General features: G+C 56.9%; 1 protein-coding gene and 1 pseudogene across 4 annotated transcripts in view, besides 2 other annotated features; both read left to right on the forward strand.

The window, feature by feature from the left end:
• Positions 1-24,758, forward strand: part of DNAH1 (dynein axonemal heavy chain 1) — an 89,573-nt gene that overhangs the window by 49,935 nt on the left and 14,880 nt on the right. For 2 of the 4 annotated variants that reach the window (XM_017006129.2, XM_017006131.2), the window contains exons 30-56: positions 310-498; positions 807-912; positions 1,534-1,647; positions 2,141-2,290; positions 3,784-3,870; positions 3,979-4,165; positions 5,603-5,694; positions 5,879-6,033; positions 7,409-7,477; positions 7,887-8,064; positions 8,971-9,165; positions 9,256-9,375; positions 9,623-9,781; positions 9,864-9,971; positions 11,092-11,232; positions 11,373-11,533; positions 12,042-12,199; positions 14,386-14,559; positions 15,101-15,139; positions 17,748-17,926; positions 19,051-19,281; positions 20,786-20,982; positions 21,466-21,601; positions 22,532-22,740; positions 23,006-23,177; positions 23,932-24,123; positions 24,483-24,593. In XM_017006129.2, coding sequence (XP_016861618.1) covers positions 310-498; positions 807-912; positions 1,534-1,647; positions 2,141-2,290; positions 3,784-3,870; positions 3,979-4,165; positions 5,603-5,694; positions 5,879-6,033; positions 7,409-7,477; positions 7,887-8,064; positions 8,971-9,165; positions 9,256-9,375; positions 9,623-9,781; positions 9,864-9,971; positions 11,092-11,232; positions 11,373-11,533; positions 12,042-12,199; positions 14,386-14,559; positions 15,101-15,139; positions 17,748-17,926; positions 19,051-19,281; positions 20,786-20,982; positions 21,466-21,601; positions 22,532-22,740; positions 23,006-23,177; positions 23,932-24,123; positions 24,483-24,593 — 4,009 coding nt within the window. The remainder of the gene's footprint in view (positions 1-309; positions 499-806; positions 913-1,533; positions 1,648-2,140; positions 2,291-3,783; positions 3,871-3,978; positions 4,166-5,602; positions 5,695-5,878; positions 6,034-7,408; positions 7,478-7,886; positions 8,065-8,970; positions 9,166-9,255; positions 9,376-9,622; positions 9,782-9,863; positions 9,972-11,091; positions 11,233-11,372; positions 11,534-12,041; positions 12,200-14,385; positions 14,560-15,100; positions 15,140-17,747; positions 17,927-19,050; positions 19,282-20,785; positions 20,983-21,465; positions 21,602-22,531; positions 22,741-23,005; positions 23,178-23,931; positions 24,124-24,482; positions 24,594-24,758) is intronic. The other 2 variants (XM_017006130.2, NM_015512.5) reach the window with 1 other exon arrangement.
• Positions 1,437-1,990: an enhancer, noted in NCBI's record as "H3K4me1 hESC enhancer chr3:52396307-52396860 (GRCh37/hg19 assembly coordinates)". NCBI's record gives its function as "activates a minimal SCP1, AML or CMV promoter by ChIP-STARR-seq in primed H9 embryonic stem cells {active_cell/tissue: H9 hESC(primed)}" and the evidence as "EXISTENCE:reporter gene assay evidence [ECO:0000049][PMID:30033119]".
• Positions 12,334-12,593: a silencer, noted in NCBI's record as "silent region_14440". NCBI's record gives its function as "represses an Ori minimal core promoter by ATAC-STARR-seq in GM12878 lymphoblastoid cells {active_cell/tissue: GM12878}" and the evidence as "EXISTENCE:reporter gene assay evidence [ECO:0000049][PMID:35858748]".
• PPP2R5CP (protein phosphatase 2 regulatory subunit B'gamma pseudogene) lies at positions 12,798-14,190 on the forward strand (annotated as a pseudogene).

Consider the following 24,758-nt stretch of genomic DNA (forward strand, 5'->3'; position numbering starts at 1 on the left):
TCTTGCCGCCTGTGTCTAGCACTAGCTGGATTTTCAAGCTGTGTTTTGAGTGAGGGAAGTGAAGTGTGGCCACATGTCGGCCATCCCCAGGGGTCCCTGGGCAAAGCTGGGCAGGGTGGTGAAATGGGACAGGGAACGCGCTGGGCAGGTGTCCACAGGCTCCAGTCCTGACCCCGGAGCCAGGGCTGGGCACACCCCAGCCCACCAAAAGGGGACGGGGCGAGAGGCCCCAGTCCACAGGAAATTCCAAGGAAAGGGGGAGTGTCCAGGCCATGTGCGGCCCGAGCCCACCTCCTCTGTCTCCTGCAGGTGCTACCTGACACTGACCGGAGCTCTGCACCTCAAGTTTGGGGGTGCCCCAGCTGGCCCAGCTGGCACAGGCAAAACTGAGACCACCAAAGACCTGGGTAAGGCCTTGGCCATACAGACCGTTGTGTTCAACTGCTCTGACCAGCTCGACTTCATGGCCATGGGCAAGTTCTTCAAGGGCCTGGCCAGGTGAGGCTGGGCATGAGCGTGGCACAGGATGGGGTGGGACAGCCTAGCTCTCCTTGGGGAGGGCTAGGTGAGGGCAGTGCCTGAGAGGGGCCTCGAAGGATGGTGGAGGGGACAGAAGGGGGTAATAGGCATCACGGCTTGGTCCTGGGGGCATTGGGGTGGGGAGTGGCAGTGGGTTGAAGACTGAGCTGATGGAGATTGCCCCTGAGGGCTTCCTCCCAAGTGGAGTTGGAGGGGGCCCTCAGAGGGAGGTGCCCAGATTGGGCTCTGAACACATGTGCCCCATCCAATGTTCCGGCCTCACTCAGTGCTGGGGCCTGGGCCTGCTTCGACGAGTTCAATCGCATCGACATCGAGGTGCTGTCTGTGGTGGCGCAGCAGATCACCACCATCCAGAAGGCGCAGCAGCAGCGGGTGAGCCCGGGGGACCCACCTTACTCCCTCAGATCTGCCATACTCACGCCGCCATACTGCTCCCCATTGCAGGCTGAGAAGCCAGGCGCTAAGGTCCACCCTGGGTCCAGCCTCTCTTGTCCCGGGGGCACACCCTAACCCCAGTCTGTGGGCAGCTCCCAGGCCAAGCTGCGGGGGATGAAGGGGTCCCCTCCTCATTACATCCTGACCTTTATGGAAAGCCCCAGGCATTGGTCCTTTCTCTAGCCACGTGCAGGGCGGCCAGGGACCTTGTTCTGGGGACAGGAGCTGAGAGGCTAGCAGTTATCCCCTCCCCCACTTCCCCTAGTCAGGCTGAGCTTGGCTGGAGCTGGGGAATTGGGGGTGGAGCGAGTGGGAAGCAGGAGATGTGGAGACCTCCAAGGGCCTGAAGCCAGGAGCTGGAAGGCCATGGGTAGCCACTGGGGCCTGAGGTTTCAGGCCAGATCCTGAGAGAGGATACAACCCATGATCAGGGGTCCAGGCCTGGCCTACCAGCTACAGCCAGGACAGGGGCATCAACAGGGGACAAGGGGCCCACTCAGAGGAGGGGACAAGGCTGGGCACCCTAGTCCCAGGCAAGTCAGCCTCTCCCCACTGCAGGTGGAACGCTTCATGTTTGAGGGTGTGGAGATCCCACTGGTGCCATCCTGCGCAGTGTTTATCACCATGAACCCGGGCTACGCTGGCCGCACGGAGCTGCCTGACAATCTGAAGGCAAGTGCAGGCCCAGAGTGGCCCAGGAAGCACCAGAGCTCTAGCCTGAGTTCAGAGATGCTAAGCCACTTATGCAAGGACACAGTTGCTTGGACTCCAGGGACTGTGATTCCCTATGGTAGCCCCTTAGCCATGGAGGGGAGGCCTCAGGGCCTCAGACTTGTCCTCAGGGCATGGGAGAAGTCAGGCTGCCTATGGATGTGGTGTGGAGGGGGAATCTAATGAGACCTGTTCACCCTGGGCCTTCAGGAGAAACAGGAAAACAGGAGCCAAGAGGGGCATCTCCTGGGAGTCATGTGGGGGCAGGTTTGGATCAACACCAAGGATCCACTCTAATGGCAGAGCTACCAGTCTCAGGGGAGTGAAAGCCTCAGCTGTGGCAGGCTTGGTGCAGCAGGGAGTCCCAGCGTGTTAGGGAGGAGGGCCGGATGAAGCTGGGGGTGCTCTGGGGGTGAGCTCTGTTTGCTGTTCACATGTGCACTGTGTGTCCCAGGCGCTCTTCCGACCCGTGGCCATGATGGTTCCAGATTACGCCATGATCACTGAGATCTCCCTCTATTCCTTTGGCTTTAATGAGGCCAGTGTGCTGGCTAAGAAGATCACAACCACCTTCAAGCTGTCTTCTGAGCAGCTCAGCTCCCAGGTGTGGTCCTGCCCTGATGGGTTTCCAGGGTCTGAAAACTTCTGCCTGCTCCCAGCCTCCAGGGCACCTGCTGAGGGCCAGGCTCTATGCCCGGTGCTTTACAGGCATTACCTTGTCGGCTTCTCCCAGCAACCCTTGGAGATAGGAGTTACATGCCCATTTGTCAGCTGAGGACACCGAGGTCCTAGGTAGCTAAAGGTCTGGCCAGGCTCATGCAGTACACAGCAGCGCTGGAGCAGGAGCCAGGAACAGATGCCTGTGTGGCTACTTCAGGTGCAAGGGCCTTGATCATTAGGGCACCAAGAGCTTCAGAACCCCAGGCTGGGGAGCAAGTGCACCTGGGCCTTGTGGGGACCAGAGTAGGACAGCCAGGCCCTCCGAGCCTCCCAGCACCACCATCCTTCCACTCAGCTTGCTGAGCCCAGATTCCAAGGACAGATGGGGTGGCCCAGGCACCAGTGCTGGTGGATGAGCTTTCCTGTTCAGCTTGGTTCCCAAACAGGCCCCCACTTTGCAGCAGCAGAGACGAGTCCCACCTCTGGGCTGACATGCTAGCAACTTAGTTTGTCTTCCATCATGATTTCAGAAAAAAATCCCTGTTGTCACCCTAATGGGCCTTCTCTGGGTCACCTGCTCATCCATGAACACCAATCACTGTGGCCAGGGGTAATCAGTACTACCTTTGGCCAGATGCAGTCCACCAAAATCTATGAGCTAGAAGAGATGCAGCCTGTTACCAGGAAAAGCAGTGGCAGTTCATCACAGTGCACTCCTGGGTGCCGGCGCTCCCACACACCCTTCTTTCCAAAATGCTCCCCACCCCCAATCAGAGCAACTATCCCACATGGTTTTGGAAATGCACTCAACTCTTCCCAAATAGAAATGACCCAAAGTCAAGCCCAGCCTCTTCATGCAGCTCCAAGTCCGAGATTTCTGGAACATATGCTAGTCTATGGGTTGGGTCTAGATGGAGTCCTCTTGGTTGGGCACCATGGGGCAGAATGATTAATTTAACTATTTCCAACTCACTTACTGTGTAATGAAGAGAAACAGGCTGGGGGAAAAAGCATGGTGGTGTGGCCAGAAAGACGGGTCTGGAGAGATGTTATGGGAGAATGTTAGAAGGAAGCTCAAGGGCCATCAAGGCCAAGCTGATTGTTGCACAGATGGGAAACTCCTTCATTCACTTTTCCAGCACAACTAGAGGGCCCTCCTGCCCCTGGCCATGTGCTGGGACAGTGACCAAAGGATGCAGAATGGGTATCGGATAAAGGAGGGGGCTATCGGGACAGTAAAGTGCAGGGTGCCCGGGGAGCCCAAAGAAGGTGCACCTGCCCAGGCTGGGCATGTAGGTGGTCCCAGCAGGTCTGCAAGGGAAGTGCTATGAGCTGGTGATGAGACTTGGCCAACTGCCAGGTGGGAGGCAGAGTGTTCCAGGCAGAAGCCTTGGAGAGGGACAGTGCTCACCCATGCCTCCTTCTGTATGGCGACAGGATCACTATGACTTCGGGATGAGAGCCGTGAAAACTGTGATCTCGGCTGCTGGGAACCTCAAGCGAGAAAACCCCAGCATGAATGAGGTGAGCTCCACCCAGCAGGGCTCCAGGAGTGGAACTCTGGGAGGGCTCCTGGGCAGCTGGAGGGCAGCTGGCCCACTGCCCTGAAGGCTCAGCCGGCACCTGCTGCAGGAGCTGATCTGCCTCCGGGCCATCCGTGATGTGAACGTGCCCAAGTTCCTGCAGGAGGACCTCAAGCTCTTCTCTGGCATCGTGTCCGACCTGTTTCCCACCATCAAGGAGGAGGACACGGACTACGGCATCCTGGATGAGGCCATCCGCGAGGCCTGCAGGAACAGCAACCTCAAGGATGTGGAGGGTGAGCCTCGGGCCCTGAGTGTTCGTGGAGGGGCTGGCCATGGCCACCTTGGAGTCCAGGTCAGGGGGACAGAGACAGGACAGTCCAACCCCAGGGGCCCTCACACCTGGCCAAGTGTGCTGCAGGCCCGGGCTCTCAGCCGAGCAATCCAGAGGCAGGGCAGATGTCCCGGCCCAGTCTCCACCAAAACCCGCCTGGTGGTGGGGAGGCAGGCGTTGTCCCCTTCCTAGGCCCTCCTTCCCGTGTGGGCTGAGAGCCCCGAGCTCCTCTTGGGCCTTGCCTCATCAGGGCCTGGCCCTCACTGGGATGTGACTGGAGTTTCAAGGCCATATTCCTTGCACCCCAGCCCACCTCACCACAGCCACCACTCACCTCTTCCAGAGGCCTCTTGGCTCCACCCCACTAGCGGGACTTGCCCACGTTCCTTGTTGAGTGACACCCCTGGCGTCACTGCGCTAAAGAAAGAACATTTGGGCCCTTCCTTCACTGACTTGTTGCAAAGGCCACCATGTGTCTGGGAGGGCTGGGGGGACACTGCCCTCAAATAGACTCCCTCTCATCCCGAACCCTCGCCCCTCATAGTAGGATGAGGGTCTCAGTTCATTCCCAGCCAGCCACCCCCTCCAGCAGGTCCTTTGGTGGGCCTGCAGGAGGAGCTCCTCTGGGAAGCCATGGCCAGTCACCCTGGCCACACAAGGCCCTTCTCGGGACCCTAGGCAGTTCCTGCTCAGCCCTGCAAGGCCTCCCCCAGGTGCCCTCCATTGTGCTTCAATTCCATGTGCAGCTCGAATGCTTCCTCCTCTGGTCACCTCCTGCACCCCCGACCCTAGCAGGCTTGTTGAATGAAGCCTCAAACTCTTCTCTCCCTCACAGCCTTAGGTCACCTTTGCCGTCCCTGGCTAATTGGGCCCTATTTGGCAGGAACCCCCGGACCTGCAGGGCCATAGCCACCACCACCCTTCTTGGGCCAAAGTGAGGCATTTATTCCCTACCCCTGTGGGCCTGGCTTCTGCCTGCTGGCAGCTGCCTCTATAGCTCCCAACTGACCCTAGGATCTTGTCTCTAGGAGTTTGCTCATAGGAGTCAGCACTTACTTGGGGTGGTGCTCTCAGCAGGCTGGGGCTGAAGTTGGGGCCTGTGACAGCTGACACTGAGCAAGCTGGTGATGGCTGACCACCTGACCAATGGCTGTGAAGGAACGGTAGTCACAGTGGAAAGAATGGCTAGCATTTACAGAGTTTCTACTCTGCCAAGTTCTGTGCTTAGGGCTTCACCTGCCCCTGCCTATGATGTAGGTGCTACCACCATCCTCATTTTATAGATGAGGAAATTGAGGCTCAGGGAGTGCAGTGACTCACCCAAGGTCACACAAGTTAGTGGTGTGGCCAGGACCCAAGCCCATGCTCTGACCCTTGGGCCCCATGCCATGTCCCCCAGGCTTCCTGACAAAGTGCATCCAGCTCTACGAGACCACGGTGGTACGACACGGCCTCATGCTCGTCGGGCCCACAGGCTCCGGCAAGAGTACTGTAAGCAGAGCCAAGCTTGGCAGCCAGTGTCCGGATAGTGGGCCTGTAGGGGGGTGCAGCTTCAACAGGGGTTGGCCTCCATTTGTGCCCCTTGGCATAGAATACCCCTCCCCCTCCCCTTGGCCCCCAGCCCACTCTAGCCCTGCTCTCTGGGAGCCTCACTCTCAGGCGGTCCGTCTCCCAGTGTTACAGAGTCCTGGCAGCTGCCATGACGTCACTGAAAGGGCAGCCATCCATCAGTGGTGGCATGTACGAGGCTGTCAACTACTACGTGCTCAACCCCAAGTCCATCACGATGGGCCAGCTGTACGGGGAGTTTGACCTCCTCACCCATGAGTGGTGAGTGACCCCCCAGCCTCACCGGTGACCCCCTGCTCCCAGACCTCTGGAGGCTGTGGGCTGCGGTCACCCCTCCCTCCATTAGCCCAGTGGAAGGCCGGGCTCTGCAGCCCAACGCTTGGGATTCTATTCTCCATTCTACTTCCTCGCTGAGTGACCCTCCTCACCCCCCAGGCCATGGTTCCCTCGTCTGCAAAGCGGGGACAATAATGGCACCATGCTTATGGTAAGGCAAGAATGACTTAACACGCTCAGTGCCTCTGCAGTATCTGGCCATTGTCATGACCTGAGAGAAGCTGGTGGGCCCTCTCCGGGCCCCTGCTCCCAGGCCGGGGTGTGCATTTTAGGGGAAGTGCACTGAGATAGGAGAAGGGCAGCTGGATGGAGACTGCTGAGACGTCGGCACCTCAGGGGCTTTTCTCTAAGGCTATTCTGTTTCTCCAGGCAAGAGTCTCCAGTTCTCTGCTGGGGGTGTCTGCTTGGCTCCAGTGTTCTGGGAGCCCTGTAGGGGATGGTCACTAGGGAGGGACAGTCGCCCACCTTCCACAACGTGAACCTGTACTGCTTCCCCCATTTCTGGTGAAGATTCTCCCCCATATCCACTCCAGTCTCTTATGTAGGTAGGTGAGGGGGCTGGGGGTCAGACCAGAAAAAAGTCCCCTGTTAAAGAAAAAAAATTATTCAATGATCCTTTTTTTTTTTTTGAGACGAAGTTTCGCTCTTGTTGCCCAGGCTGGAGTGCAGTGGCGCCATCTCGGCTCACCGCAACCTCTGCCTCCTTGTTCAAGCGATTCTCCTGCCTCAGCCTCCCGAGTAGCTGGGATTACAGGCATGTGCCACCATGCCCGGCTAATTTTGTATTTTTAGTAGAGACAAGATTTCACCATGTTGGTCAGGCTGGCCTCGAACTCCCTACCTCAGGTGATCTGCCCGCCTTGGCCTCCCAAAGTGCTGGGATTACAGGCGTGAGCCACTGCACCCAGCCCTCAATGATACTTTTTAAAGCATGCTGAGGAAGAACATATTCAGGAGCATGGCAGGCACAGGGACCACTGCACTGGGGCCTTATAGTTAAGGGGAGAGACTGGGCTCTGAATACAGCATGGGCCAGTGGGAATCTATAGCCAAGGGGCAGGGTGAGCATCAGTGGGTGGAAAATCCAGAGGAAACATCAGTGGTGAGGGGGATTCTGGTTGAACCAATCTAACAGGATTCCAACTGAAGACAGGCCTCAGCGTAACCAGACATTGCCTGGGGGTGGTGCAGGGAAGGAGCCTCAAGAGTGATCAGTTATCAAGGGTTCTGGCTAAACTGACTTAGCAGGGTTCTTTACTGAAACTGGATTTTACAAGGACGTGCATATATGGGCACCTAGGAGAAGGTTCCGGAGCCTAAGGCTGGACCAAGCACAGCATCTTCATCAGCCCTACCAGCCCCTTCCCTGGTGCGTGCTGCCTCTGAGGTCTGAGTCCCCTGGGTTCTGAGGCAGGACCTGGCCACTTCTCACCACGCTGCTTTCTCTGCCCTGTCATTTACCCTCCTCCATCCTTGTCCATTGTCTTCCAGAGCTGCACTTCCTCCATCTCTGCTATTGCCTCCTCCCCTGCTCCCTTTTTCCTGTTGGGATTTCACCTTTAATGGGGCTTCAGCAGGGCAGGGACATAAGCACATGTTTTCATTACACCATGTGACACCAAAAAAATCCCACTTTTCCTATTATAATTTTTAAAAGAACAAAGAGATTGAAGGAAAGTAGAGCCCGCCCACCCGGCGGCCAGGCTTCCCTGGGAGCCAGCTGTGCTCGAAGCACCGCCTCCCTGATGTTTCCAGCCCTCTCCTCCCTGGCGCTGCAGGACAGACGGGATATTCTCCTCGTTCATCCGGGCGGGGGCCATCACCTCCGACACCAACAAGAAGTGGTACATGTTCGATGGGCCGGTGGATGCCATCTGGATTGAGAACATGAACACGGTGCTGGATGACAACAAGAAGCTGTGCCTCAGCTCTGGGGAGATCATCAAGCTCACAGAGGTGCACCTACCTGTCCACCTGCCCACTCTCCTCCAAGGCTGGGTGGGCCTGGAGGCTGCATCATGCTGGCCAAACTCTGCCCCCTCACCCCTTTCTCTCAGGGCCATGGGTCCATCTCAGGCTGTCACCCTGACTCAGCAAGAGCCCTCCTGCTAGCAGGAGCTTAGGCTCAGCTCCTAGTGCCCCTCCCTGAGCTCCCACACCTCAGGGTGTCCCGCACAGTTGCTCAGAGCACCCTTTACACAGACCCTCTTTCTTTTGTGCTCGAGCCCACCAGGATGCCTGTCCCACTGCTCCCCGGCTGATGATGCCTCTTGCCTCCCAGGCCCAATTTCAGCCATGTTGCCCCAGTCAGGTCAGGTGGGGTCAGGTGTGCACCTGGCCCTGGCAGTATGCCCGGGGTCTGGGAGATGGATGGCATAGACACCACGGGGATCTGTCTGGTGTGTGAGGAGCAGTTGTCAGAGAAAGAGGGATATGGCCTGGGCACAAGAGCATCTCAGGGGTCTACACTGAGTCCAGCTCTTGAATCCTTCTAAAAGCAAATACCTGGCAGTCAATGTGGACCTGTGTCTATGTGCACAGGGGTGGAGGGCTCTGGAGCAAAATACACAGTTCCCATCAGATGTGCCCAGGCCTCCAGGGACCCCAAAATGCTCTGACCCCAGTCTGGTCAGCGAACCTCAGGAATCTCCTGACTTGGGGTCCTCCTCAGGGCTCCAGGGAGAGCCACGTTATCAGCTGAGGACCCAGCGGTTCCTGTCCCACCCAGCACTGCCCCTGCCCCACAGCCTGCCCACACCGCCCACTTACAGGATGTGCAGCCCCTCCCCGCAGCCCTGCAGCCCTTTCTCCAGGCCTGAGGACTGGCAGCCAGCCCACTCATTTGGTTCGTCTTGGCACCAGGCAATGACCATGATGTTCGAGGTGCAAGACCTGGCGGTGGCTTCACCAGCTACAGTCTCCCGCTGTGGCATGGTGTACCTGGAGCCCAGCATCCTGGGGCTCATGCCCTTCATCGAGTGCTGGCTGAGGAAGCTGCCTCCCTTGCTGAAGCCCTATGAGGAGCATTTCAAGGCCCTCTTTGTCAGCTTCCTGGAGGTGAGTGAGGCCACGGGTATGTCTGACCCTGGCAGGGCAGCAGGGCACTGTGGCTGCCAGCCATGAGAACTGGGTGCCTACTCCCTGCAGGAATCCATCTCCTTCGTTCGGTCCTCAGTGAAGGAGGTGATCGCCTCAACCAACTGCAACCTGACCATGAGCCTCCTCAAGCTGCTGGACTGCTTCTTCAAGCCCTTTCTGCCTAGAGAGGTACAGCCCTGAGAGTGGGGCTAGATGCACCTGGTCCCTCTCCCCACACTGCTCTCCTTGCTCTCTGGGGCCTGAAAGAGAGAATTGGATTGGTGCAACATGGTGCAACATGGACAAGACCACCTGTCCAATTGGCTGTAGAGAAACAAAGCTGTGTAGCAGAGGTCAAGACATGCCCCTGCCCCACTTCCTCAGGCCGCTTGATACTGTTCCTGTCTCAGCCTGATACTGTTCCCTTCATCCCCAGGGCCTCAAGAAAATACCCTCTGAAAAGCTGAGTCGCATCGTAGAGTTGATCGAGCCCTGGTTCATCTTCTCCCTGATCTGGAGCGTGGGTGCCACTGGGGACAGCAGTGGCCGCACCAGTTTCAGCCACTGGCTAAGGCTCAAGATGGAGAACGAACAGGTGAGAGCCGGCGGCCCCCAGGGACCAGGAGCCTCAGTCCTACTGGGCCTCACAGCCTGCTTCTCCTCCTGGTTCCCGGCAGCTGACTCTGCTTTTCCCAGAAGAGGGGCTGGTGTTCGATTACAGGCTGGAGGACGCGGGCATCAGTGGCACCAACGACAGTGAGGATGAAGAGGAGGAATACAAGCAGGTGGCCGCAGGCCCTCCCCAGAGACTGCACAGGGAGGGACCACTGGGTGGCTGCTGTTCCCGCAATGAATTATGGCCACACAGGGAGCCGTCACATTGATGGCCACCAGGTCTCAGGCAGCGGTTATTTGCATCATCTCATGAATCCTCATGGCCCTGTAGAGTGGTTATTATTGTGCTTGTTTTCCAGATGTGGCAGAGCTGTACTTGAACCTAGGGCTGGGCTAAGAGGGGAGACATTCGAGTACCTCCCTTTCCAGCCATATGCACTGCCTCTTCCACATTGATGCGGAGCCCAGGGACTGGCCACCTCAGTTCCACTTAAAAGCCCCATTTTCCCAGAGACTGGGCTCCCGAGGGCTGGGGGGCAAGCTCTTGAAGCCTGCTTCAGTGTCCTCATCGCTACTATCAGCTAGCAAGGGCTCCATGAGCTCACCCTCATCCCAAGGTCAAGACCCCAGCCCAGGAGGACAGAGGTGGAAAGGCGTCTGCAGAGACCTGTCCATTACTGTGCAGCGTCCTGCTGGGGGCTCCCAGGGCACATTTGGGTCTAACGTTTAAGACTGTGCCCAGTGGGATGCATTGGTTTGGCCATAGTGATCCCCCCATCAGGGGACGTCTGCAAGCTGGGTCAGGGCTGCTGTGAGTGAAGGGATTTGTGCAGGCGGGGACAGTGTTGGGAAGACTGGACCTAGTGGCCTCTCAGCTTCCAGCTGACACCAGTGCCCATGGTTCTGGCCCCCACATTTCTCGGGTAGCCTGAAACTAAACAGAAAACCCCTTTGCATTCTGGGTTGTTCAATTCTCGGAGCTTCTCCTTTCTGCAGAGACTCAGGGCCTGGCAGTCCTTAGGGAGCCCCCAACCTGGGCAGGGAGAGCCCTCTTATGCAGTTGTGCTCAGAGTCCCCATTCTTGGCTGTTTGTGCTGGGAGTCCCCCTCCCCATGCAGAAAGCAGGGCACAGGACTTTCCATTTCCGCCGGAAGCAGCCCTGCACCTGGACCCGCTTGCCAAAGCCCAGCCGTGCAGCTCCTGGCCCTTCTGCACTTGGCCATGGGGCCGCAGCCAGGAGTGGGGCAGGGAGGGGTTCCAGGCCCACTGCTGAGCCACCTATGATTCCAGGTTGCCTGGGTGAAGTGGATGGACTCCTCAGCTCCATTCACCATGGTACCAGACACCAACTACTGCAACATCATTGTGCCCACCATGGACACCGTGCAGATGTCCCATTTACTGGACATGCTGCTCACCAACAAGAAGCCCGTGAGCACCCCCCCAGGCCCTGCCTCCACTGTCCCCAAGGCCTATATTGGGGGTTGACCAGCCTCCCACATGGATGCAGGGGCAGCTCCTCCTGTGCACCAGGCCCACCGCATGCTCCTGTGCCATCCCCGCTCTGCCAGGTGCTGTGCATTGGGCCAACAGGCACGGGGAAGACGCTCACCATCTCTGACAAGCTCCTCAAGAACCTGGCACTGGATTACATCAGCCACTTCCTCACCTTCTCAGCCCGCACTTCAGCCAACCAGACCCAGGACTTCATTGACAGCAAGCTGGACAAGAGGCAGGGCACCCCTCCCTCCTTCCTCACCCCTGCATCCTCCCAGCCTGGCCGATCCAGCTGCTGTCCCACCTCTCCACCAAATTATGCTCCTGGGTTTGCCAGGAACCTCCCAGGGGGAGCTGACAGCCCCCCAATGGGCCCAGGGTTCCCTCACAGACTGCTCCAGAGCCTTCCCTGTATCAAAAATTCCTACAAAGCCAGTCAGCGAGTGGGTGCTCGCCCTGGCTGTGCCCTTGGACAGGGCCCTGGGTCTGTCTGTGAGAAGCCTGTTGTCCATCTGCCTGGGAGGCGAGACTCACTTTGAGGGAGCTCAGACTCAGGTCAGCCTGTCCCAGCTGTCCCAGGACACTCAGAACAAGGATGAGGGTGGGTCAAGGCATCTAGCAATTTGGAGGAGGCTAAAATTTAGCAAGGGCTTCCCAGAGGCAAAGCTGCCACCCGTTCGCCCCTGGATTCTCAGAGGACCTGGTGCCTGTGGGTGCTGGGCTCACACAGCCCCTCCCCTCAGGCGGAAGGGTGTGTTTGGACCACCTCTGGGGCGCAACTTTATCTTCTTCATCGATGACCTGAACATGCCGGCCCTGGAGACCTACGGTGCACAGCCACCCATCGAGCTGTTGCGCCAGTGGATGGACCACGGCGGCTGGTACGACCGCAAGATCATTGGTGAGTGTGGCCGGCCTGGCTCACAGGGCAAGGGCTACGCGTGCTGTGCAGGGGCACAGGAGGCACAGCACTGAAGGCCTACAATACTTTAAGGCACCCACAAAAATGTTTTAATTTCTCTTAAAATTAAAGGGGAGGAGGGGGGCCGGCTGGGGGAGGGGCGGAGAGACGCCGCCGCCACGGCTGCCGCAGCCTCTGGAAGCCTGGAAAAGGGGAAGCGAGAGCAAGTGAATGTCTCAGTCCCCAGGTGGCGGTGGTGGCCGCGGGGGCGCGACGGCGGGGCGGGGGCGCTGCTGCTGCGGGGGCAGGAAGCGGCAAGGGCGGTGGCGGCCCGCTCCAGCCATGCCGAATAAAACAAGAAGGAGAAAGAATCACCAAAAGCAGGGAAGAGTGGAAAAAGTTCAAAAGAAGGACAAGACACAGTAGAATCAGAGCAAATTTCCGTCAGGAAAAACAGCCTTGTTGCTGTCCCGTCTACAGTGTCTGCTAAAATAAAAGTACCCGTCTCTCAGCCCATAGTGAAGAAAGACAAACAGCAAAATTCTTCAAGGTTTAGCGCAAGCAGTAATAGAGAACTTCAAAAACTACCATCCTTAAAAGATGTTCCTCCTGCTGATCAAAAGAAGTTTTTTATCCAGAAGTTATGTCAGTGTTGCGTCCTTTTTGACTTTGTTTCTGATCCACTAAGTGAACTAAAGTAGAAGGAATTAAAACGAGCTGCTTTAAGTGAAATGGTAGAATATATCACCCATAATTGGAATGTGATCACAGAGCCTGTTTACCCAGAAGTAGTCCATATGTTTGCAGTTAACATGTTTCGAATATTACCACCTTCCTCCAATCCTACGGGAGCAGAATTTGACTCAGAGGAAGATGAACCAACGTTAGAAGCAGGCTGGCTTCATCTACACTTATTTATGAATTTTTCTTAAGATTTTTAGAGTCTGCAGATTTCCAATCTAATATAGCGAAGAAATATATTGATCAGAAGTTTGTATTGCAGCTTTTAAAGCTCTTTGACAGTGAAGATCCTCAGGAGAGAGATTTTCTTAAAACCACCCTTCACAGAATCTATGGGAAATTCCTAGGCTTGAGAGCTTACATCAGAAAACAGATAAATAATATATTTTATAGGTTTATTTATGAAACAGAGCATCATAATGGCATAGCAGAGTTACTGGAAATATTGGGAAGTATAATTAATGGATTTGCCTTACCACTAAAAGAAGAACACAAGATTTTCTTATTGAAGGTGTTACTACCTTTGCACAAAGTGAAATCTCTTGAGTGTCTACCACCCCCAGCTGGCATACTGTGGAGTGCAGTTTTTAGAAAAGGACAGCACCCCCACAGAACCAGTGGTGATGACACTTCTCAAATGCTGGCCAAAGACTCACAGTCCAAAAGAAGTAATGTTCTTAAACAAATTAGAAGCGATTTTAGATGTCATTGAACCATCAGAATTTGTGAAGACCATGGAGCCCCTCTTCCGGCAGTTGGCCAAATGTGTCTCCAGCCCACACTTCCAGGTGGCAGAGCGAGCTCTCTATTACTGGAATAATGAATACATCATGAGTTTAATCAGTGACAATGCAGCGAAGATTCTGCCCATCATGTTTCCTTCCTTGTACCACAACTCAAAGACCCATTGGAACAAGATAATACATGGCTTGATATACAACGCCCTGAATCTGTTCATAGAGATGGAACAAAAGCTGTTTGATGACTGTACACAACAGTCCAAAGCAGAGAAACTAAAAGAGAAGCTAAAAATGGAAGTACGAGAAGAAGCATGGGTTAAAATAGAAAATCTAGCCAAAGCCAATCCCCAGGTACTAAAAACGAGAGTGACATGAAAACGTCCAGGGTTACTTGAAATGTTTTTATAAGATAGGACTATGTCTTCACCATGGGGGCGGGGGGTGGGGCTCGATTTCACTAACGTTGTATATGAAAATGTCTGCAATAAAAAGTACTTTTGAACTTTGTAAAAAAAAAAAAAGTTAAAGGAGAGGAGCATGAATTTTTAGGGCAAAGAAAAATTTTCCTGTGTAATATTGATGTATTTGTCTTTATTCCAGTACTGTTCTAAAGTATAATTTTGAATTTTTGTATGGAGAAGGGGCCACAAAGGTCATAATGCAGCCCTGGCCAGGGCCCTTCCTGACTTCCTGCCCCTACTCCAGGTGCCTTCAAGAACCTAGTGGACATCAACTTTGTCTGTGCCATGGGCCCCCCGGGTGGAGGCAGGAACACCGTCACCCCGCGGCTGATGCGTCACTTCAACTACCTGTCTTTCGCTGAGATGGACGAGGTCAGCAAGAAACGCATCTTCTCCACCATCCTGGGCAACTGGTTGGGTGAGTATTGGTGGGGGTGAGCATGGACAAAGGCAGAAGCCCAGGCCAGGGAGGCCACACCAAGGACAACTGGGTGGCCACCAGAAAGGGTGGAGTGGCCAAACCATGACCGCAACCCTGGGTTCACCTCTCACTCAGCTGTGTGATCTTTGGCAGCTCATGAATCTCTCTGAGCCTGTTTCTTCATCTGTACCTACCATTCCAGGTCGTGAGGGTTAAGTATGATATTGCATGTAGAGCACCTAGCATGAAGCCTGGCACGTGGTGATTGCTGGATGTATGATGCACACAGATATGCACTCACTCACATACATACATACGTATACGTTAGTACTTGCCCAGAAACTCTGGGGAAGGCATGTTACTTTTGTAAATCAGGAAAAGCCACAAGATAGGATGGACGGAGTGTCTCTGAGCCTTTATGGGGTTTGGGGAAAAGCTTACCCCAAGATGCTGTTTCCCCCACCATCTCACCTGGCCAGGGTGAGCAGCAAGAGGTCCACCTAACCCTGAGCCCCGTGTTTCTCCCTCCATCCTCTAGATGGACTCCTTGGAGAAAAAAGCTACCGGGAGCGTGTGCGTAAGTGTGGGCCTGGGCGGGAATGGGGCACTGGTTCCAGGAGGAGCCCTGGGCTCTGGTTGGGTGTGTTGAGGCTGCGACCAGGCGCCGTGGTGAACCATCCTCAGGTTCATGCAGGGACCTTGGGCCACTAGGGTGCCAGAGCGAAGGTTGACACAGGCACTGGCTGCCCCATAGGCTCATTCACCCATTCTTAGAGCCCTTCCATGCCTGCGTTAGTGTCCAGCTGATGATAGATGCAAATTAAATGCAAAATGAATGCATAAATAAGGGAATCCAACAAACTCCCACCCTGTGTGAAGAATCAGAACTCCAGGGAGCAGGTGTGCACAGGAAAGCCGGGAGTGGTTTGTGCGGGGCAGGCATCGTGGTGAATCTGCCCGTCGTCGCGGCAAGGCGGCTGACCACTGCAGTCCCTGTCCTTGCCCAGGCCTGCCTCCTCACCCTGCCTTCAGCTGAAAGAGGCTGTCGAGAAACAGCTCCCTTTTGGGTCTGCACCCACCTGCTTACCTGCGCCCTGCCTTCCCTCCTGTGGCTGGGAACGGACTGCTGCTCCACAGCAAAGCCCAGCCTCCTCCTGGGCCTGCCTGGGAATGTGGCACCCCTCTTCCCCGCCAACACCAGTGCTCCCTTCGCCACTGGGCCTTCCACAAACAAGCCCCATTCTCCATCTCAACCACCAAATGCAAAACAGCCTCTCTGGGCCCCCTTCCCACCTGCCCCAGCCCGTCACTCTACCTCTCTGCTCACCTTGATAGCAAAACTCCTCCAAAGCATTGTCTTTCCCGCTGCACCCGCCCTCCCCTCCCACTTTCCTGTGAATGCACCTCTCACCCTCTGAGAGTTCTTGTCACCAGTTGCCTTCTGTGGCCAGACCAGCGGTCAGCCCTTGTTCTCGCCTTCCCAGGGGTCAGTAGTGCTGGCCGGCAGACATCCCCTTCCTGCCACGGGCTTCTCTCAGGCCTCCCCCATCCCTGGCTGCCCATTCTCGGCTGGACTGGGGCTTGGTCTCCAGCCTCCTCTCCCTCCAACCACACTCTCCTGAGACAGTCCCATCCCGCCTCTGACGGGGAAAACCATCTTTGTGCTGGCAACTCCCAAGTCTACCTCCTCAGCCCAGACCTCTCCCATGAATGCCTGATTCCACATCTTCCCTGGGATGTCCACAGGGTATCTCAGGCCAAACCTGTCCAGAGCCAAACTCCCGAGTACCCCGGTCCCCGCACTCTTCCCATCTCAGGCAATGGCAGCTCCATCCTTCCAGGTGCTCCCAGCAAGACGGGGTCTTGGCGCCATCCTCCATCCCCCCTTCCCTCACCCCACAGCTCACCTGTCAGGAGGTCCCATAGGTTCTCCCTTGAGAACCCATCCCAATCGGCCACTGTTCACCACCCTGTCCTTGCCCACCCAGCCAGTGCTGTAGCCCCGCCATGGTCTCCTGGCAGCTGCCTTCACCTGCCTAAGGTCTATCTTCCGCTTGGGGCCACAGGGACCCATGAAATCATTCCATCAGTCCACACTCCTCCTCTCTCACCCATCGCATCCAGGCAAGAGCCCGGGTCTTGACAATGGTAGGCAAAGCCATCCTCAGTTCGCCCTGCCTCATCCTCTGATCTCACCGCCTCCTGCTCATCCCCTCATTGCTGGTCCTTAAGATGCCAGGCCTGCTCCCACCTCCAGGCCTTTGCCCTTGCTGTCCCCTCTGCCTGGGACAATTTTTCTCCAGTTATGTGAAAGCTTGCATCTCACTTCTCTGCTTGACCCCCCTTCCTCAGTGAGGCCTCCCCCAGCATTCCGTAAAATCGCCCCCAAGCCCAACTCTGGCCCTCCCCGGACCCCTCTCCTGCTGCAGGGCTGCCCGTAGCCCTTGCCACCTATTTGCTGTCTTTGTTACTTGCTAATCCACTCATTGTCGTCCTTACCAACAAGAGTGTCAGCTTGAGGGCAAGGAGTGTGTCTGTTTGGGTCACTCTGTGCCCAGTGCCTGTGTCAACAGACAGGCCCCTCTCCTGCCCTTTCTTTCCATTTTCTCCACTTCTCCGCCAAGTTTCCACTGACAGAATTTGGGTTCCCAGCACAGAATTGGATAGTTTTCAAAGAACAGGCCGATAGGTGTATGAGTGGTAAAAATGCAGGCTGAGGGGTAGGCAGCCCCGAAGTGGGTGGTAAGCCCTCAAGGTCGGGGGTGTGCTCCAAGCCTCCCCACGCCCACTCCGGCATCTTGAGGCCTACGTGGATCATGAGACCCTCCCCAAGTGTGGCTCAGAGGTGGAATGTTCAGGTTTGGGCACAGCCTCCATAGGACAAGGCAGTAATGGCCCCGCCCAGCACTGACCCCACGAGCGCCCCCAGTTCCATGATGAGTCCCAGTGCTCCGACAGGCCATGTCAGCATAAAGATATAAGGGGTGCAGAGCAGGAGATTCTTCACCTCCCCCAAGCTGGGGGCATCCGAGATGGGGCCAAAGGGTACGTGGAATCCAAGCCTGAAGGCTGGGGAAGGGGCTTGGTGGGGGGCACAGCACAGCAAAGGCAAGGAGGTCAGGACCTGCAGAGGCGGCAGAGGGAGCTCCTGGCATGTGACCCAGGCCATTCTCCTATTCCCCCAGCTGGGGCCCCCCACATTGCCCACTTCACGGAGCCCCTTGTGGAAGCCACCATCATGGTGTATGCAACCATCACCTCCCAGCTGCTGCCCACTCCAGCCAAGTCCCACTACACCTTCAACCTGAGGGACCTCTCCAAGGTCTTCCAAGGCATGCTCATGGCTGACCCGGCCAAGGTCGAGGTGAGGACCAGGCAGGCACCCTCCCCAGTGCCCACACTGCTCTCCGCATCCTCCCCAGCCCCACCAATTTCAGGCCTTCCTGCCCAAACAGGCCCTGAGTGGGGCTTCCTGGAACATGGAGGTGCCAGGCCCTCCAGAGCCCAGCCTTGGTGCAGCTGAGCCCAGTCTTGTTAGTTGAACCCACACCTGGAATGGTGGCTGAGACGGGGATCACATGAGAGAGCCAGGGCAAGACGAGGGAGAAAGAGGGCTTCTGGTTTGGGCCCTGCATGTGAGAACGCTTGAGGGACAGTGAGCAGGGTGCCCTCTGGGAACCAAAAACCCCAGGTGGAAGGAGGGGGAAGTGTAGCAGGGAGCCAGGTGTCAGGGGCACTGGCAGGGGTGGGTCCAGGCACTAGGCACGGTGGGGGGCCAACATGGAGCTTAAATTTGTTCTGAGGGTGTAATGAGCCGTGTGGGTGGGCGGGGGACAGACCTGCACTTTGGAATGGGACTGAGCGGCCAGTGTGTGTGTAGCCCAGGCTAAGGAGATGGGGTGAGCAGGACAGAAGCTGACCCTGGCCTTGTAGCCACGCTTGTAGCCAACAAAGTCTACAGAAAAGGCTGGGAGCTTCCGGAGGGCAGTCCTGCCACCCAGGGAGATGCAGGGAAGCTGGGACAGAGGCGGCAGCTGAGATGGAGAGAGGGGGCAGGTTCAGAGGAGATTGGTGGGTCATGTCAGTGTGGCTTGGTGGGTGGTTAGATGTGGGGTGTTGGGAAAGTGTTAGGAGCATCAAGCATCCCTCCCAGGTTTGGGGTTAGGGGAGCGACAGGGGGCTAAAAGGTGGAAGTGAGGTGCTTGTGACAAGCTAGCAGAGCCAGACACCCAGAGGGCACTTGGCCAGCTGGACTCGGAGCTGAGGCATGAGGAGGCCCAGGCAGCACTGTGCAATCCACCCCATCCTCAGCCAGCCAGCAGTTGCACTTGCCAGCAGCCCCCACACACTGTCCCTGGGCCATGGTGGGAGAGCCAGGCTCCAGTCAGGGCCCCAGGAACTGGGGCCCACCCTCCCTTGCCTGGTGGTTTGAGAGATAGCTGAGGGCTTGGGGGCCAAGGACAGGCACCGATGCTGGGGCTACTGCAGGACCAAGTGCAGCTGCTGCGACTGTGGTATCACGAGAACTGCCGCGTGTTCCGGGACCGACTGGTGAATGAGGAGGACCGCAGCTGGTTCGACCAGCTCCTCAAGCGCTGCATGGAGCAGTGGGAGGTGACCTTCAACAAGGTCTGCCCCTTCCAGCCCATTCTTTACGGGGACTTCATGTCACCAGGCTCCGATGTCAAGTCCTACGAGCTCATCACCAGTGAGAGTAAGGTGAGGGGCCCAGGCAGGCGCCCTGCCCCTGGTGGGGTCCTCTTCAATCTGCCTCCCTGGGGCCCAGGCCCCCTGCAGTCACCACTAACAGACTACCACACTATAACCAGGGGGCCAGGACGCGGGGTAAGACAGCCAGCTCCAGGAGACTCCCGGCATGCCCTTGCTCTCTCTGGGTACCGGTTTCTTCACTTATCTCTGAAAACCAGCCTGTGGTCCAGCTGAGATGGGCTCTAGACACAGGGGCAATCATCCCTCCACAAGGGGCCGGGGGCGGGGCCTGGGGCCATGGGTCTCAGTCAGGACCCCAGGGAGGCAGGGAAGAGGCCTCACTTGGTGGCCCCAGTGCTGCATGGCTGAAGCAGGCCTCCTGACAGTTTCTCTCCACACGCATCCTCTCCTAATTCCAAGAGCTCCCACCAGGGTCACAGGGTCAGCACACCCTGGTAAGCCCCAGAAGGAGCAGGCAGGGCTCTGACCCAACTCTCAGGCCTCCATGTGTCCCTGGGTCAGGCCTCGTGCAGGGGGGCCTGGCTTCTTAAGGCCCAGCGTCCCCACCATGCACAGGAGGAACAGGGTATGCTGTGGCAGGTGAGCTCCCCGTCAGGGAGGGCCCCAGTACACGGTGCTCTGATCAGCCGAGCCCATGATTGGAGTCGCCCCAAAAGTGACAGCAAGCAAGTTCCTACAAGGGACTGCCCCCAAGCCATCCCTAGATTGGGCTGGTTGAGATTCCAAAGAAAGAAGCATTGAATTACAGGGTAATTAGTCCAGAGCATTTATTAGGGGAACTCACATACAGGGGAGAGCAGAGATGTTCTAGCTCAGTATGTGTGCAACAAGGGAGTCATATGAGTTATGGAGTTCACATGAGGACTGAAGGATTTGGGTGGGCTGGGGCTAGCTTCTATGTGTTTAACAATATGCTTGATCCCCCCGTGGGTTTTATTTTTGCTTTTGTTTTTGTTTGTGTGTGTGTGTATGTGACTGGGTCTTGCTCCATCACCTAGGCTGGAGGGCAGTGGCATGAACTTGGCTTACTGCAGCCTCTACCTCATGGGCTCTATCAGTCGTCCCACCTCAGCGTCCTGAGTAGCTGGGACCACAGGCACGCACCACCACGCCCAGCTAATTTTTATTTTTATTTTTTATTTTTTGGTAGAGGCAGAGTTTCGCCATGTTGCCCAGGCTGGTGTTGAACTCCTGGGCTCAAGTGATCCTCCCGCCTTGGCTTCCCACAGTGCTGGGATTACAGGCGTGAGCCACCGCGCTAGGCCAATCCCTCAGTGTTTTGAGCAACAATCTAAGCAAGTTTATCAGTGTCTGGGAATGTTCAGCTTGGGCTCGAGCCTGCAGGGGAAACATGCAGCTGGCCGGGTCACAGGTGGTCAAGGCACCTGTGCTTCTCAGTCAGGACAGAGAAGAAAGCGGGTGGGTGGGGGGAATCGGGGAGACCCTACAGTAAGAGAGACCCCGCCTTCCCCATCCTCGCCTTGGTGCACAGATGATGCAGGTGATAGAGGAGTACATAGAGGACTACAACCAGATCAACACGGCCAAGCTGAAGCTGGTCCTCTTCATGGACGCCATGAGCCACATCTGTCGCATCAGCCGCACCCTACGCCAGGCGCTGGGCAATGCACTCCTGCTGGGCGTGGGTGGCAGCGGCCGCAGCTCCCTCACAAGGCTCGCCTCGCACATGTGAGCGCCTCCAGGGCGTGCTGGGCAGTGGGCGGCCAGGGCTGGCTGGTCGGTTTGACTGACCCATGCTTTTGCACAGTGGTAGAGGCCTCGGGCAACCCTGAAGTAGGCCCGTGCAGCCTACAGGCTTCTGGAAAGACTAGTAGCAGGATCTGGGCTCCAGGGAGAGGCAGCAGCAGTGCCTGTGGTGCTGTAGGGAGGGAAGTGTGGTGCAGGCATCCCAGAGGGATTACTAGGGGAGGTGGCCAGGGCTGCTCTCAGAATCAGAGCTGGGAGGATGGAAGGGAAGGGCATTTGGACTGAGGGAACAACTTGGGCAAAGGTCTGAAGGCAAAAAAGCAGGTTCAGGGCCTGAAGGGTCTGCAGGTCTGCCCAGGATGGGAGCAGAATTCCAGGTGGTCAGGGTAGGGTGTGGTCACCCACCACCCTTCAGCGTCTGGCCCCAAGTCCCTGGCATGCTTCAACCCAAACTTCTGCCTCCAGGGCCGAGTACGAGTGCTTCCAGATTGAACTATCCAAGAACTACGGCATGTCCGAGTGGCGAGATGATGTGAAGAAGGTCCTGCTCAAGGCGGGCCTACAGAACCTACCCATCACCTTCCTCTTCTCAGACACCCAGGTGCCACTGCCACAGCAGAGGGCAGGGCTCGGGGGGGCTGGACACAACCCCATCTGAGCATAGCATCCCGGAAGGTGGCCAGTCCTTCATGCCCAGCTCACAGTCAGGGCAGATCTCAGAAGAGACCACCAGGACCAGGTGGGGCCACAGATGGGCAGGTTGAGAGCATGAGACCAAACCCAACCTCTCAGAGCTAAGGTGGGGTATAGATCATCACTCATGCCCCGAAGGTAAAGAAGGCCCTGGTAGCATAGCACCCCACTCACTGGCCAATGGTGTCCCACCTCAAGGACCACAGGGCTTGTCCCCAAAGTGCTAGGGACCCATGGCTTCCCTGCTCCCTCTTGGGATGGCATGAGGCTTCTCCCTAGATCTCTGAGAGGTTGTCTAGGGTCACACGACAGAACAGGCTTCAACCTGGCTGGTGGTCAGGGTTGGGCCCAGGGGCCCAGCCTGAAGCCCCTGAATGTGCCCCATCCTAGACAAAGGCCCCTCTGCTCCCAGCCCTGTCCCAACCCCAGAGCTCCCTTCAAGGCAGCCACTGTGAGTCAGGAAAGGGAGGATGCCATCTAACACAAGCCAGGCCCAGGCTGTATGAGATGGGCAAGGACCTATCTCTGCCCGTGGCCATGGTTTCCTCTTGTGAGTAAACTGAGACATGGAGAGGGGCGAAGAGGAAGATGCCACAACCCCCAGTGAGGACCCAGTGTCCTGCCACAACCCAGTGGTTTTCAGAGCTTCTACATGGGGGCAAGTCCTAGACTATGACTACAGGCTAGTCTGTTATGAGGTCACTTTTGTGACTCTGGGCTTCTCTGAGCCTTAGTGGTACAGTCTGTCAAATGGAGCTGTTGTGAAGGTCCAGCGAGACTGTGGTCATATAGTCCAACATGCAGGGGCTTAGCTCCCCACTCCTTCACCCCTCCCCAGATCAAGAACGAATCCTTCCTGGAAGATATCAACAACGTCCTAAACTCTGGTGACATTCCCAATCTGTATACTGCGGACGAGCAGGACCAGATCGTCAGCACCATGCGGCCCTATATCCAGGAGCAGGGCCTACAGCCCACCAAGGCCAACCTCATGGCTGCTTACACAGGGCGTGTGCGCAGCAACATCCACATGGTGCTGTGCATGAGGTACAGGCAGCTGTCGCCAGGCTGCGCTGGGGCAGCGGAGCTGGGTGTGTACATGGGCTGGCCCCGGGGACACTGGATGCCATGCGCTGGGGCCTGAGATGAGGAGACGCGGCCCTGGGCCTGGCCATCATGCCATTGGGCCCAGGCTGCTGTGCTGCTGTGTCCTGGCTGCCATGCCACAGGGCTGTGCAAGGGCCCTGGGTCCTGGGCTCCTGGGGTCGTTGGTCAGTGTCTCTGGACCTCATTTGGATTCCTGACTTTCCAGCCCCATCGGAGAGGTCTTCCGAGCTCGTCTGAGGCAGTTTCCCTCCCTGGTCAACTGCTGTACCATCGACTGGTTTAACGAGTGGCCGGCAGAAGCCCTGAAGTCTGTGGCCACCGTGTTCCTCAATGAGATCCCAGAACTGGAATCCTCCCAGGAAGAAATCCAAGGACTGGTGGGTGTCTTGCTGAAGCTCAGGCCCTTGGGGAGACCTGTTTAGCTTGGGGCATGGGCTCAGGGTCACCAAGGTCTGGGTGAGATTCCCAGGCCCACCACCGAGGGTAAGCTTTTGGTCAGGCTGTGTTTCCTGTCTAAGCCTCCATTTCCTCATCTGTAAATGCGCAGAGCCACAGGTCATCACAGTGACTAGGGTGCTGCGCACACAGCTGCACGGGTACTGCTTCCCTTATTCCCTGAGGGCCCCATGGTGCTTTCTTCCAAGAACCCCCTGATAGAACTCCAGAGATCACAGATGGGGGTGTAGATTTGCCTGGTCCAGCCTGAGACGGTGACAGTCCCAACATTTCCCTACCAGCTGTGCTGAGGCCTTGGGCCCTGTCTCCCCCTAGATCCAGCCTCTGAGGGGGAACCACCTCAGGGCTCTCAGAGAGAGGCAGGTCATGGGGGCTGTGAAAAGACCACTGGGCCAAGAGCTGGGAGACAGCTAGGTCCAAGTTCAAAGCCAGCCCAGCCCTTGACAGCTATGTGAACTTGAACTAACCCCTGGACTTCCCTGGGCCTGGGGTTTTTCATCTGCACAAAAGGTGACCTCGACCTGGAGGTCGTGAGGCTCATAGAGTGAATGTGAGAGGCATGGAGGTTCCTGCTGTGGCCCCCTCCTCGGCCCAGGTTGCAGTGGCTGTGGGCACCCAGTCCCTGTCTTTCCTGGGGCCTCTACCAGGCCGGCATCCATGGTCTTCCTCCCCCAGATCCAGGTCTGTGTGTACATCCACCAGTCGGTGTCCAAGAAGTGCATCGAGTACCTGGCAGAGCTGACCCGCCACAACTATGTGACCCCCAAGAGCTACTTGGAGCTGCTTCATATTTTCTCCATCCTCATCGGGCAGAAGAAACTGGAGCTGAAAACTGCCAAGAACCGCATGAAGAGCGGCCTCGACAAGGTGGGCCCAGGCGAGTCCCCGTGGACAAGGTCAGCTGCCTGCAGGCTGCCTGCTCACTCAGCCCTGACTCCAGGGTGACACCATGCTCCGCCTTTCAAACTGCAGCCCACGACGTTGAAGTGGGTGGCTTCCCCCCTCATCAAAAGAACAAAAGTTGCCAGTCAAGGGCCAGGCCAAAGCGTGGCACCCCACAGATATTTGGGGGACTGATGCCCTTCCTCTGGGGTCGGCTGGGCAATGTGGGGGCCACCGAAGCTGCCGGCCACAGCTTCTCTCTCATGAATGAGGGCGGCCCAGCAGGCCCTGTGCTCTCTCTGTCCCTGCCACACCTGTTTTCCTGTCTCTGCCCTGACCCCTAGCTGCTGCGCACTTCTGAGGATGTAGCCAAGATGCAGGAGGACCTGGAGAGTATGCACCCCCTGCTGGAGGAGGCTGCCAAGGACACCATGCTCACCATGGAGCAGATCAAGGTTGGGGTGCTCCCGAGCCCCTCCCCAATGCCTGACTCTGAGGAAGCTCGGCACCCCCACACAGGCGCAGGCTCGCTAGCTGCCTGGCCACTGCAAGTCATCTGGCCTCCGTGTGCCCCAGCTTCCTCAATCAGTAGCCATCCATTTTGTCATGGAATGTTTGCC

The sequence above is a fragment of the Homo sapiens genome, chromosome 3 (genome assembly GCF_000001405.40).
Source record: "Homo sapiens chromosome 3, GRCh38.p14 Primary Assembly".
Classification (NCBI taxonomy): Eukaryota; Metazoa; Chordata; class Mammalia; order Primates; family Hominidae; genus Homo; species Homo sapiens.